This window comes from Homo sapiens, chromosome 17, assembly GCF_000001405.40.
Source record: "Homo sapiens chromosome 17, GRCh38.p14 Primary Assembly".
Taxonomy (NCBI): Eukaryota; Metazoa; Chordata; class Mammalia; order Primates; family Hominidae; genus Homo; species Homo sapiens.
Genome location: NC_000017.11, coordinates 65,902,622 through 65,916,273, shown reverse-complemented (window position 1 = coordinate 65,916,273; position 13,652 = coordinate 65,902,622). Strand labels below are relative to the sequence as shown.

Genomic DNA, 13,652 nt, shown 5'->3' with positions numbered 1-13,652 from the left:
CACACACACACACACACACACACTCTTTTTCAAAACATAATTTAAGGTAGGGTGAGGTAATGATAACTGTTGTGAAGAAAAATAGAGCAAGCTAAAGTGTTTGTGAGTGAAAGGGCTACTTTATAAATGGTTATTATTTTATACAAGGTGTTATTGTAGATAAGATTGTTAGTGAAGGACTCTACTGAAATGATATTCAAATTAAGACCTGGATGAAGTGAAGGAGGAAACCATACAAAAACCTGAGGTAAGGAAAGAACATTCCAGGTGGATGGTTGCAACAGCCATGAGATGGGTTAGTTTGTAGCTGGAATGGAGTGAACTTGGAAGAGAGTGGTAGGAGCCAAAGTACAGTACAGGGTAGATTTTGTCACATCCTATGGACCATGGTGGGAGATTGGATTTTATTCTGAGTGTGTTGAGAAGCCACTGGAGCATTTGAGCAAGATCTGGTTTGCTTTTCTCTTTTTTTTTTTTTTTTTTTTTGAGTTTGAGTCTCACTCTGTCACCCAGGCTGGAGTGCAGTGGTGTGATCTCAGCTCACTGCAGCCTCCGCCTCCTGGGTTCAAGCGATTTTCCTGCCTCAGCCTCCCAAGTAACTGAGACTACAGGCACCCACCACCACGCCTGGCTAATTTTTTATTGTATTTTTAGCAGAGACAGGGTTTCACTATGTTGACCAGGCTGGTCTCGAACTCCTGACCTCATGATCCACCCACCTCAGCCTCCCAAAGTGCTGGGATTACAGGCGTGAGCTACTGCACCCGGCCTAGTTTGCATTTTTGAAAGATCTCTCCAGTTGCTGTGTGGAGCTTTGATTACGATGGAGGCAGGAGAGGATGCAGGGGACCTAGTTAGGAGATGATTGCAGTGGGCTGGTTAGAGGTTACCGGGCTGGGACTAGGGTGGGAGTGGTGGGGGAGACAGGGAGTAGTCAGATTTGGGATCTATTTTGCAGGCAGGACTTGTCAATGGTTGTGAAATAGAATGTAAGGTAAAGAGTGGGCTAAAATGTGACTTAAAAGTTTCCCAACTGAGCAACCAGGTGGATGGTGGTGACAGACACTGATACATGAGTAGAGAGAAGAGAAAGGAACTTCCAGGACTGAGTCTAGGGGCTGCCAACACTTACATATGAGGAAGAGGTGGAGGAAGCAGCAAAAGAGACTGAGAAGGAACAACCAGTGAGGTAAAAGGAAGGTCTAAGAAGGTGGGATTTCCCATAAGCCGTGTGCAGTGTTTCAGGAAGGAGGAAGTGAGTAACCACTTGTTTCAGGTGTTGCCAAGAAGGGAAGTTAGATGGGGACTGAGAACTGACTGCTGCATGGCGAGGTCTTTAGCCACCTCAACAAGACTGGTTTCAGTAGAATGTGGGAACCAATGTCTGAATTATGTGGGTGGACAGACAATGCGTTGTGAGCAGCCGTTTTGAGGAATTTTGAAAGAAAAGGGAGCAGAGAAATGAGTGGTATCTAGAGGGACGTGTGTGGTCAAAGGAAAGTTTTTTTAAAATGAGATAAGCTAAAAACATGTTTGCTTATTGATGAGACTGATCCACTAGAGAAGAAAATATTGATGATGCAGAGAGTGATGGGATAATTTCAAGAGCAGCATGCTTAATTTGGCAAGAAAGGATGGAATCCAGTGTACAGATGAAGGGACTCGCCTTAGGTAGCTGCAAGGCCAGCCATGCGTTCAAGCCATAGGTAAGGCAGGGTCTTTGCAGGTGGACCAGCCAATTTGGTGATGGGGAAGATGAAGCAGCTGTCTTCCACCTACTTGTAATTCTGTTTTTCGAATGCCACCTTGTTTCATTCAAAATGATGAATAATTTACGAAGCATTGTGGTAGGCAAGATAAGGAAAATAAAAAGAAAGTAAAGACACAGTGCTATATATTGGAAGAGTTTATAACCAGGTTGACCTATTTGTCCTTCTAAATTACGAACTGTAGCTGGCAAACTTACATGATTTTTATATTTCATGTTCATTCAAAAGCAGTAACATACTAGATTAAGACACAGACATCTCATTGAGAACTGAATGTGTTGTAGAGAAACACATAAAGTAAAATGAATTAAAATATGCAGTTAAGACATGTTTTTTTCTAAAAATTTTGAACTCCATCTATATGGAGTTCATTAATTTAGTTAATTAGTTAATTAATCTTAATTAAATTTAGTTAATTTTCTCAATTTGTGTGGCTTGAGTTGTCCATTATTGAACCATGAAAAAAAAACCCTTTTGAAGCATTTGACTATCTGGCTTCTTCCTGAGTTTCAACTGAGATCTGGCAGATAAAACCACAGAAAGTAATAGCTCATTTTTCAAAAAGTTTTAAAAACTCAGGATAATTGTCACTCATCACCTACAGGTGCTGGAGAAGTGTTTTGAAGTGTTAAATGGGAAGATAACCACAGGAGATAGCGCCTGCTTCCAGCCTTGCTTCATCTATCAGCTTGCTAATCACAGCTGTGTTTCCAGCCTTCTGCTCTCCCTGTATCATGAGCTTCGGGAGCTTCAGCAGGCAGTAGTCCTGGCTGTTGATGGTTGGCTGGAGAGGAAAAGGAATAAAGAAGCAGTGTATGCTGGCAGGCCCTGGTACCATCTCTAACAGCGGTTATCACAGCAACATTAAACTTTTAAATAAGGAGAACTTCCATGCGTAAACTGAACTGTTGATTGACAGATTTCATGGATGTAGCAAACATCTAATCTGGGAGCCACATGGCCATCCCCAAATGACACATTCTATTTCTGTTCTTGACACACTGCCTGCTTTTTACAATTTTTTTGTGCCTATTTCTATTAAAGTGTTCAGAAAGTAAGACCAGATTGTAGTATTTTCTGTGCTAAAATGTATCTTTACTCTGACTCCAAGGACTCAGAGAAGATTGTATATGTCCTTATTTTATCTTTAAGGGAGCTTTTCTCATATAGTGAAGTATCCAATAGCACATTTTATATCATATAACTGTGACTAAAAAGAAAGATTCCAACATCTTTTAGTGAGGATATAAAATCAGTCTGTGAAACTACTACCTTTGCGGTAGACTGCCCCATTAGCGTAAAATTTCTGCAGCTCTAAAAAATTTAGTAACTTATTTTGACATTTCAAGTGTGCAATTTTGCAGATGCAAATTTTTCAGAGACATAACCTGATGATGTTAAATATATATCTCATTGCATGAAAAATACCAGGGCCTGATGTACCTGTTGCCTGTTTCTTAGTATGCATCTTAACATCATGAGTCTAATGACCTATATATTAGGTTGGTGCAAAAGTAGTTGTGGGTTTTGCCATTGAAAGTAATGGCAAACACAACAATTACTTCCACAATTACTTTTGCACCAACCTAATAAAACTAGTGCTAAATTTTACAACCTAGAAGCAAAGGTTTTCCACAGAGAGCCCTTGAGTAGAACGTGAGAGGAAAGTGTTACCTGGCAAGCCCTGTAGAAAAATCTGTCTATTAATGGCCAATCCTTTAAAGCAATGTGCCCCTTGAACTATTAATTTGATGATCAATATAATTTTGGATACAGTTTACAATGTTTGAACTGTCCTTCATCTTTATTTTTAAAAAATGTGGCATGTTGATAATTGTTTGTGATTTTTACCAGGCAGTAGTTTTTCTGCCACTTACTTCCATGCTACTTCAGCCATGGCAGAACTGCCTTGGCTTACTATGGAGGAAGGGTCAAAGTATCAGAAAAGTGAGAATATGAGAGTGGTTTTGTTGCTTTAGGCCAGAGAAGCCAGTGCATGGGAGGGCCTAGAGGATATGGCCTTTACTAGGGTGCTAAGGTGCACTGGTGGGAGGGGCACTGATAGCACTGAGCCACCTCCATGGTGGTTTCCTCTGTATTCCGGGGCCGACAGTAGGAGATGCTGCTATGGAACTGAGCTGCCTCCTTTCAACAGGAAAGTTGGGTTCCAGAATGGCAGGCACTACATGGGGCACTTGGATAGATGGAAGGTAGACACGATTACTCTACTGGATAGTAAGGCTAGACAGGCCCTTCAGGTGTCTTACCCTGCAGGGATCTGTGGTGATAATGAGCTGTGTTCTGAGAGATAAGATAGAGAGCCAGTGGGAATACTACTTGGCTTGTACAACATCAAGAAAATGTCCAAGACTGATGAGTGAAACTGAAACAGTTTTCCACTTAGGGTGGAAAATCATAGTCCTCTACCAAGTTTCCCGATCTGAGTTGGTTCGCAGACCCAGAACCCGTTTGTTTTAAGAGAGACCACATCCCTTGTTTAAGAGTCTTGTACTGCCACCAGAAGTAAATATTCCCCCCGAAGGGAGCTACTGGCATTTGACATGGTCCTGCACACAAAGAAGAAAACAAAAATTTTACCCAAATCTTACCTTCCGGAAACGACTGCTGTTAATCTTAGGTGAGCATTATTCCAGAAATTTCTATGAGAGATTGATAAATAGAAGGATAAGTAGATATATAGACAAAAACAATTTTCTAGAAACAGGACCATGCTACATTTGCCACTTTTAATTAAAATATTAAATTATATGTGAAATTATTTGAAGAAACAAGGGAAACGGAAAGATTTCTCTCATTTTTTCTTTTTTATTTATTTTTTATAGAGATAGGGTCTTGATACATTGCCTAGGCTGATCTTGAACTCCTGGGCTCAAGTGATCATCTCACCTCGGCCTCCCAAAGTGTTGAGATAACAGGGGTGAGCCACTGTGCCCAGTGGAAATGGAAAGATTTCTAAAATTTAGAAAAACATTTTTTTAACCACATAAGAGATTATTTTTAGAATGTTAGAAATTAAAAATACATTGAAGTTAGAGTAATTTTTAAATTTTGTGGTTCAATTTTGAGGGCATTAGTTAACTCCTTATTAGAGAAAAATTAAACTGCCCATATTTCCTTCCACCTACTTATACCAGTCTATTTTGTCAACCATAGTATTATTTATACATTGTTGAAGTTTATAACATTTATATTTTGTTCCATAACCATAATTCTCACAGTTATATAAACTTAGCTTTTTATTTAAATCAATTATGTGCTCACCACCAGGATTTTTGCACAACTTCATACCTGAGTTCTTATTTTGATCTATTATTGACTACTGAGATTTCATCAAGTAGCTTTTCCAAGAAGGGCTTATAGTTGTATTCACTGTATTTTTGCATGCTTGAGCATCACTATGTGTTCTCTTATTTGTGAAGGATACCTTAGCTGGGCATAAAATTTTTTGATCATCCTTTCTTCCCCTGACACTTTGTACACATCATCCATTGCCTTTTGGTGCAAACATTGGTCTTAAACAGCTTCTCTGGTCATCTCTTGCTTGAAATTTATCCCCAAGTGTTTTTTTGTTTCAAGAGTGGTTTGGGGACTACAGTCCTTGAGTTTCTTTCACGTTTCTTTTCCTCAATTGGAATCTATCTTTCTTGGTCTACAGTGTGTCTTTTTGATATACACATTTATCTCTTCATTCATTTTAGGGAAATTTTCGGATACCACGGTCTGTGTTTACATGGATTTTCTTTTCACGTTTCCTACTTTAGCTTCTCTTTGTCTTTTTCCTGGACCTTTATTATGATTACCTCAAACCCTTTATCTATGTCAATGATTTGATTTTTCACCATGTTTATTCAACTCATTGTTTCTGATTTAGAATCAATTTTGTGATGGAGTTATTTGGGTCCTTGGTTAATTCTGTTGTTTTATCTTGTTATCCTTGCATTATTCTTTCATTACACTCATGTTCTTATTAAGTTCTCTTACAATTGTTTTTGGTTTTTAATGATGGGCCTCTTCCTTACTTTCTTCTTTTCCTCTTCTTTGTCACTAAGTTCACCTTTTTCCTAATGTAATTAATGTTTCTCTAGTTTTCAGATACTTTTCTCCCTCATCTTGCTTGGGCTTAACGTGGGCACCTGTGTCCAAATCTGTTAAATGGACTGATATAATATTCATGAATTCTCTTTGACTACTTTTCAGCCTGTCAGTCCTCCTCTGAATTTCAGTATGAAGGCACAGGTATTTCATTGCCTTTACTTTTTTATGAGATCGTGATAGGGATGGAGAAAAAGAGCTTAGTTGCAGTTCTGAACAACTTCTGTCAGAGAAACTGATACTGGCTCTGTCTTTTAACAATTTATTAATGTCTTACACTGGGGTTTTTCTGTGTATTAGAGAGTGTTTTCTTTTTTCTGTGAACTCTAACTCCTTCCTATATTCTATCAGAGAGAATCAGTCCAAGTTTCCTACTTTCCTAACTTGATTCATCTCTCTCTAGTAGCCATTTTTACTCCATTGAAATTGTCCTCCTATTCTTCCACCCAGGCAGAAGGGGGAAAAGTGAATGATACATCTTCAGTTCATTTTTCTCTAAAACTGGGATACTGGAAAATAATCCTCAGCATAATTTCAACTTACCAGTTCTACTTCTAGGGTATAGGGACAAAAGAGTATGTCTCACCAAACCATGTCAGAATCTTCTCTTTCTTTCCTTGGCTACCTTGTTTTGAAATTTGTGGCCAAGTTATTATTCTTCTTTCCTTGTTTGTTCACTGCCAGTGAATGTTCTCATGTTCTGTATTTAATGTTTGTTTTTGTTCTTTTCACAATTTTCAGTTTTCCCTATTATCTTTACCCAGAATTTCCAGTGCCAAGTATGTTCAGTATGAGGCATTGGTTTCTCTTGGAATATGGTTATTCTCCTGTTGGTAAAATCATTCCAGCAGCAGCTGAATGACCAACTATCAGGGTTTTATAGGGAAGGTTTTTAGATTAAGATTAACATTGTATTAGCTAGCCTCTAAGTCCTTCCAAATTCTTAAACTTTCATATTTCTATTCACTTAAGGGAGAGCAATTATCATTGAGTTGTAGGACAAATATAACCCCAGGGCATCTAACTGTGACTCCCTCTCTTCCTCCTTTTCTAGCCAGAGAATATGGAGAACCACTCTCCCTACTTTCTCTAGCTATAACCCGTTTTTACACCAGGGCTATGTAGAATATAAAGTTTGTAATTTGATTACCTTCAAGATTATTTTGGTTAGTATTTTATACCATCATTTCCCCTTTTCAATGTGTTGTGGTACATCCTTCTATGATTTATGTTTCTAGCACTGGCATTCCTGACATTAAGTTATGTTATTGGGGTATATTAGTCTTCCACATATTGTATATTGAGAAGAAATGACTTTTTCCATCTCCTTTTCTATTTCTTTAAATGATTATTGAAAGTGGTTCAGGCCATATTTGCTAGCACTAATTTCACTGTAAAACAGTTACCAGGACTTAAAATATATATCCCAAGATCCCTAGGGACTTGTATGTCCAGTGGCTCCATCTTGGTCTTTCTTGGGACCTAGAATGTGCTCTTGCCCTTAGGCACTTACATGAAAGTTCAATTGGAATGAAGACGTCATCATCAAGCTGTAGAAGGATTTCGTCTGTTCTGAAATGGAGGCCGATGCTTTTAGGAACTTCAGAACTTCAAAACTTTACTCTTGAATTTCAAGTTCTGCATGTGTTGTGGAGTAGCATGGTGGGTGGAGCAGGACCCTTTTTCTTTTTTTTTTTGAGACAGAGTTTTACTCTTGTTGCCCAGGCTGGAGTGCAATGGCGTGATCTTGGCTCACCGCAACCTCCACCTCCCGGGTTCAAGCGATTCTTCTGCTTCAGCCTCCTGAGTAGCTGGGATTGCGTGCATACACCACCACACCAGGCTAATTTTGTATTTGTGGTAGAGATGGGTTTCTCCTTGTTGGTCAGGCTGGTCTTGAACTCCTGACCTCAGATGATCCGCCCGGCTCAGCCTCCCAAAGTGTTGGGATTACAGGCGTGAGCCACTGCCCCGGTCCCTTTTTCATCTCCTGTTTTGACCTCAAAAATGACAATTTCCTATGAGTCAACCCAGTATTTTCTAGACAATGAACCCCAACCACCAAGCCGTCAACCCTAGCTTCTCAAAGGACTATCATATGCCACCAGGTGCTTGCACATGAGGGCTGACACTACCAGTGTTCCTGGAAGACATGCCAGTCTTCTTTAATATGTTTAGGGTGGGCACATACCCAGTATTGTTATCTGTCTCATAGCTCAATGCTTTTGGATTATGGAACTTGAAGCCTTCCCTCTTTTATTACAGGGAACTCCTTAGCCAGCCTTAATTAAGCAGGGTCCTTGATCATGGTGCATCCAGTTCTCCCTTGTAGCATGTATTATGGGTCCAGATGCCCCACACCCCTTAACTTAGAAGGCTTATTAACCATTTAATATTCATTTTGTGGGTTCTGTCTGCTTTTATGTCCTCTACAATGTCCATAATTTACCACCTCCTGGTCATCATTAACTCCGTTAGACATTATTGTTGGTCAACCGAAGTATCTACTAGTCCAACATGAAGAAGATGTGCTACTTTGTGTTTACCTTTGAGATGTGTCCACAAGTAAAGGACAAATGGAAAGTCCAGATGATTCTTTTAACATTTATTTACATGGATGGGGCTAGGCACCAGTAAAACTTTTTATTTACATATCTACCTTGATGACATTCTTTGTAGTTATGAATACCATCGTCAAGATATTCCCCCAACATTAGGGTTTCTCCTCTGGACCCTACCATTTATCTGGAGAAGACACCCTTGCTAGAAGATGCTGATGGTGCGGAAGCCTAGGAAAAGACCAGAAAGGGCTCATGACATCCAGAAGTTAGCCATGTAGTGTTGGACTTAGCAGACAAGCCTGAGCTATTGCATTTTAAATTGAAAATTATCCTCCTTATTCTCTGTTCAAGCAGGAGAGGTAAAAGTGAATGATATTTAAAAGGCTTTGGCAACCTTGAGATTTGTTCATTAAGTAGAATCATGAGCAATAGGCCCTGGCAAAATATCAAACTAACAATCATTTATGACTATTTATGTTTATGCTTGAAATGTGATAACCGCTATTTCCTTTTTTTCCTGATTTTTAAAAATGAATAAAGTGAAATTTGAACATGGGCATGATCATTGATGAGTCTATAAGAAACTTCAAATGTCTCTGTTTAGAAAGTTACTGTGAAAGTACATTACTACTAGAGTACAGAACAAGGAGGTATCATTACTAACGATCTCACAGCTAGTTCTAGTCATGTGTTTTCTGTTGGGAGAAAATTCTGCAATTCTTTTGCCCCAATTATAGCTCATTTGGTTACTTTTCTCATTCTAGAATATTGTAAAATATTTTGCTTTTAACCAATTTTAAGTCACATCCCTTCTCCCAATATTTCTGAGGCTTTCAAGAAGATCTCAATAGAACTTTCTACCTCCCATTTCCCTTCAGTGTGTTACATGCTTAAATGATTTTGATTTAAGTTTATAATTTTATTATAATGATCCTTGTTGGTATAACGCTGAGTAGAAATAACATGTCCAAGAACTAAAAATATTCCATCTCAGTCATTCATTCACTCAGCTTCCTGAGCAAAATGTCATAACAGCAATACAATATGAAATCTCTCTTTTGTTGGGATTAACATAGTTCTGTGAGACACAGAACAAAGCATACACATTTATTTTAAATAAAGAAAACTTTCTTACTCGGTATAGTATGTATTAGGAGAAAATGTTTATACTATTTTTTCTGAATATTGCCAATAGTAGAATAATATGGGGAAAACCCCTAAATTTTAAATAAATATAAATTCACTATAACACATCACAATTCTGAGATGCAAAATACATTTTGCCTTATTATTTATACATTATTGTTATAAGTGTATATGTTCAAGAGTTTGCATACTTTTCTTCTTCTAAATAACAATACATTTATGGTTAGAAATACATTGTTGATTTTCTAACTCTTTATTATTATTATTATTATACTTTAAGTTCTGGGATCCATGTGCAGAACCTGCAGATTTGTTACATAGGTATACACGTGACATGGTGGTTTGCTGCACCCATCAACCCGTCACCTACATTAGGTATTTCTCCTAATGCTATCCCTCCCCTAGTCCCCTACCCCCCCGACAGGCCCCTGTGTGTGATGTTCCCCTCCCTGTGTCCAAGTGTTCTCATTGTTCAGCTCCCACTTATGAGTGAGAACATGGGGTGTTTGGTTTTCTGTTCCTATGTTAACTTGCTGAGAATGATGGTTTCCAACTTCATCCATGTCTGTGCAAAGGACATGAACTCATCATTTTTTATGGCTGCATAGTATGGTGTAAATGTGCCACATTTTCTTTATCTAGTCTATCATTGGTGGGCATTTGAGTGAGTTTCAAGTCTTTGCTATTGTGAAGGGTGCTGCAATAAACATAAGTGTGCATGTGTCTTCTTTTTTTTTTTTGAGACGGAGTCTGGCCCTGTTGCCCAGGCTGGAGTGCAGTGGCACTATCTTGGCTCACTGCAAGCTCCGCCCCCCGGGTTCATGCCATTCTCCCGCGTCAGCCTCCCAAGTAGCTAGGACTACAGGCATCCACCACTACACCTGGCTAATTTTGTTTTTGTTTTTGTTTTTTTATTTTTAGTAGAGATGGGGTTTCACCATGTTAGCCAAGATGGTCTTGACCTCCTGACCTCGTGATCCACCTGCCTCAGCCTCCCAAAGTGCTGGGATTACAGGCATGAGCCACCGTACCCAGCCATGCATGTGTCTTTATAGTAGAATGATTTAAAATCCTTTGGGTATATACCCAGTAATGGGATTGTGGGTCAAATGGTATTTCTGTTTCTAGATTCTTGAGGAATTGCCACACTGTCTTCCACAGTGGTTGAACTAATTTACACTCCCACCAATAGTGTAAAAGTGTTCCTGTTTCTCCACATCCTCTCTAGCATCTGTTGTTTCCTGACTTTTTATGATCACCATTCTAACTGGCATGAGATGTTATCTCATTGTGGTTTTGATTTGCATTTCTCTAATGACCAGTGATGATGAGCTTTTTTCCATATGTTTGTTGTCTGCATAAATGGCTTTTTTTGAGAAGTGTCTGTTCATATCCTTCATCCACTATTTGATGGGGTTGTTTTTTTTCTTGTAAATTTGTCTAAGTTCTTTGTAGATTCTGGATATTAACCCTTTCTCAGATAGATAGATTGCAAAAATTTTCTCCCATTCTGTATGTTGTCTGTTCACTCTGATGATAGTTTCTTTTGCTGTGCAGAAGCTCTTTAGTTTAATTAGATCCCATTTGTCAATTTTGGCTTTTGTTGCCATTGCTTTTGGTGTTTTAGTCATGAAGTCTTTGCCCATGCCTCTGTCCTGAGTGGTATTGCCTAGGTTTTCTTCTAGGATTTTTATGGGTTTAGGTCTTACGTTTAAGTCTTTAATCCATCTTGAGTTAATTTTTGTATAAAGTGTAAGGAAGGGATCCAGTTTCATTTTTCTGCATATGGCTAGCCAGTTTTCCCAACACCATTTATTTAATAGAGAATCCTTTCTCCATTGCTCGTTTTTGTCAGGTTTGTCAAAGATCAGATGATTGTAGATGTGTGGCATTATTTCTGATGCCTCTGTTCTGTTCCATTGGCCTATATATCTGTTTTGGTACCAGTTCCTTGCTGTTCTGGTTACTGTAGCCTCATAGTATAGTTTGAAGTCAGGTAGCATGATGCCTCCAGCTTTGTTCTTTTTGCTTAGGATTATCTTGGTTATACAGACTCTTTTTTGGTTCCATATAAAATTTAAAGTAGTTTTTTCTAATTCTGTGAAGAAAGTCAATGGTAGCTTGATGGGGATAGCATTGAATCTATAAATTACTTCGGGCAGCATGGCCATTTTCACGATATTAATTCTTCTTATCCATGAGCATGGAATGTTTTTCCATTTGTTTGTGTCCTGTCTGATTTCCTTGAGCAGTGGTTTGTAGTTCTCCTTGAAGAGGTCTTTCACATCCCTTGTAAGTTGGATTCCTAGGTATTTTATTCTCTTTGTAGTAATTGTGAATGGGAGTTCACTCATGATTTGGCTCTCTGTTTGTCTATTATTGGTGTACAGGAATGCTTGTGATTTTTGCATATTGATTTTGTGTCCTGAGACTTTGCTGAAGTTGCTTATCAGCTTAAGGAGATTTGGGGCTGAGACGATGGGGTTTTCCAAATATACAATCATGTCATCTGCAAACAGAGACAATTTGACTTTCTCTCTTTCTATTTGAATACCCTTTATTTGTTTCTCTTGCGTGATTGCCCTGACCAGAACTTCCAATACTATGTTGAATAGGAGTGGTGAGAGTCTTGTGCCGGTTTTCAAAGGGAATGCTTCCAGCTTTTGCCCATTCAGTATGATATTGGCTGTGGGTTTGTCATAAATAGCTCTTAATATTTTGAGATACATTCCATCAATACCTAGTTTATTGAGAGTTTTTAGCATGAAGGGATGTTGAATTTTATCAAAGGCCTTTTCTGCATCTATTGAGTTAATCATGTGTTTTTTGTGATTGGTTCTGTTTATGTGATGTATTACGTTTATTGATTTGCGTATGTTGAACCAGCCTTGCATCCCAGGGATGAAGCCGACTTGATCATGGTGGATAAGCTTTTTGATGTGCTGCTGGATTCGGTTTGCCAGTATTTTATTGAGAATTTTTGCATCGATGTTCATCAGGGAAAATGGCCTGAAATTTTCTTTTCTTGTCGTGTCTCTGCCAGGTTTTGGTATCAGGATGATGCTGGCCTCATAAAATGAATTAGGGAGGAGTCCCACTTTTTCCGCTGTTTGGAATAGTTTCAGAAGGAATGGTACCCGCTACTCTTTAATCACAATAAGAAAACATTTTGAAACCTATGTTTTAAAGCAAATTTCATTTGTGTTTTGATTCTTGACTTGTCATAAGGGATAAGAATTTCAAATTTAAAAAGAAAACTTCTGAAATTTAGTGCAGTGTGCATGCCTGGAGAAATGAATGCTATAGCTTTAAGATAAGGTAGTCTGGTGATTCATTGCACGAAACAAGATCGATTTGGAGCAGGCTCCTACTGTTAGCTTTTTTGAAGATGGATTCTCACGCCGAAAATAACACAACATATTCTAGATAACAGCAGTTTTTCCCCCTGAAATCCACCAAAACTGAAGAAAAATCCAAGTGACTGTTCTTAGCAGCTGTGTGGCCTGGAGTTCACTGGGGAAGCTGGCTTCCTGCCGTCCCCTATTCATCACCTGCTTCAAAGACAGCCTGGCTGGCTATAGTTTGCAGGCCAGGTAGGGTGCCATTGTGCACAGTCTGGGAGGATTAGTATCAAAGCTGCGGCAACCAGGCCTTGGTCTCGGGCTGCCATTCAGTCTAGCGGGGAGAGGCTAAGACTGGCCAAGGTCACAGTCTCCAGTGTGGAGTGGACTGGGAAAGGATCCTGAGAATAGAATGCTCTTTATGAAATCATGGCGCAAGCTTGCAGCACAGCAGGTGCCCTTCTGGAACACATAACATCTGTTTATGTTGGTATACCGTAGCTGACAACGAGATAATAGAGCTTTGAAATTTATCATTTTATTTTTTAAAAGACAACTGTATATACAAGAATCCAGATGCATATTTAGCTCCGATCTTTTATTTGTAAATCATGAAGAAAGCTGACCGATTTAATTGCTGCTTTTTACATGTGTATATTTAAGCAAAAAGCAAAGCGTACTATTAACCATTTATAACCATTGCTGATCAGTAATACCCGAAT

The 13,652-nt window shown here is 38.8% G+C and overlaps 1 protein-coding gene and 1 long non-coding RNA gene across 23 annotated transcripts in view; one reads left to right on the top strand and one right to left on the bottom strand.

The window, feature by feature from the left end:
- The window catches only part of CEP112 (centrosomal protein 112), a 556,597-nt gene that overhangs the window by 275,860 nt on the left and 267,085 nt on the right, over positions 1 to 13,652 (top strand). The window lies entirely within an intron of this gene.
- Positions 2,474 to 13,652, bottom strand: part of LOC105371867 (uncharacterized) — a 34,476-nt gene continuing 23,297 nt past the window's right edge. The window contains exons 3-4 of the long non-coding RNA XR_001752977.3: positions 4,379 to 4,429; positions 2,474 to 2,553 (exon numbers count right to left, since the gene is read on the bottom strand). This is a non-coding gene — a long non-coding RNA (uncharacterized LOC105371867). The remainder of the gene's footprint in view (positions 2,554 to 4,378; positions 4,430 to 13,652) is intronic.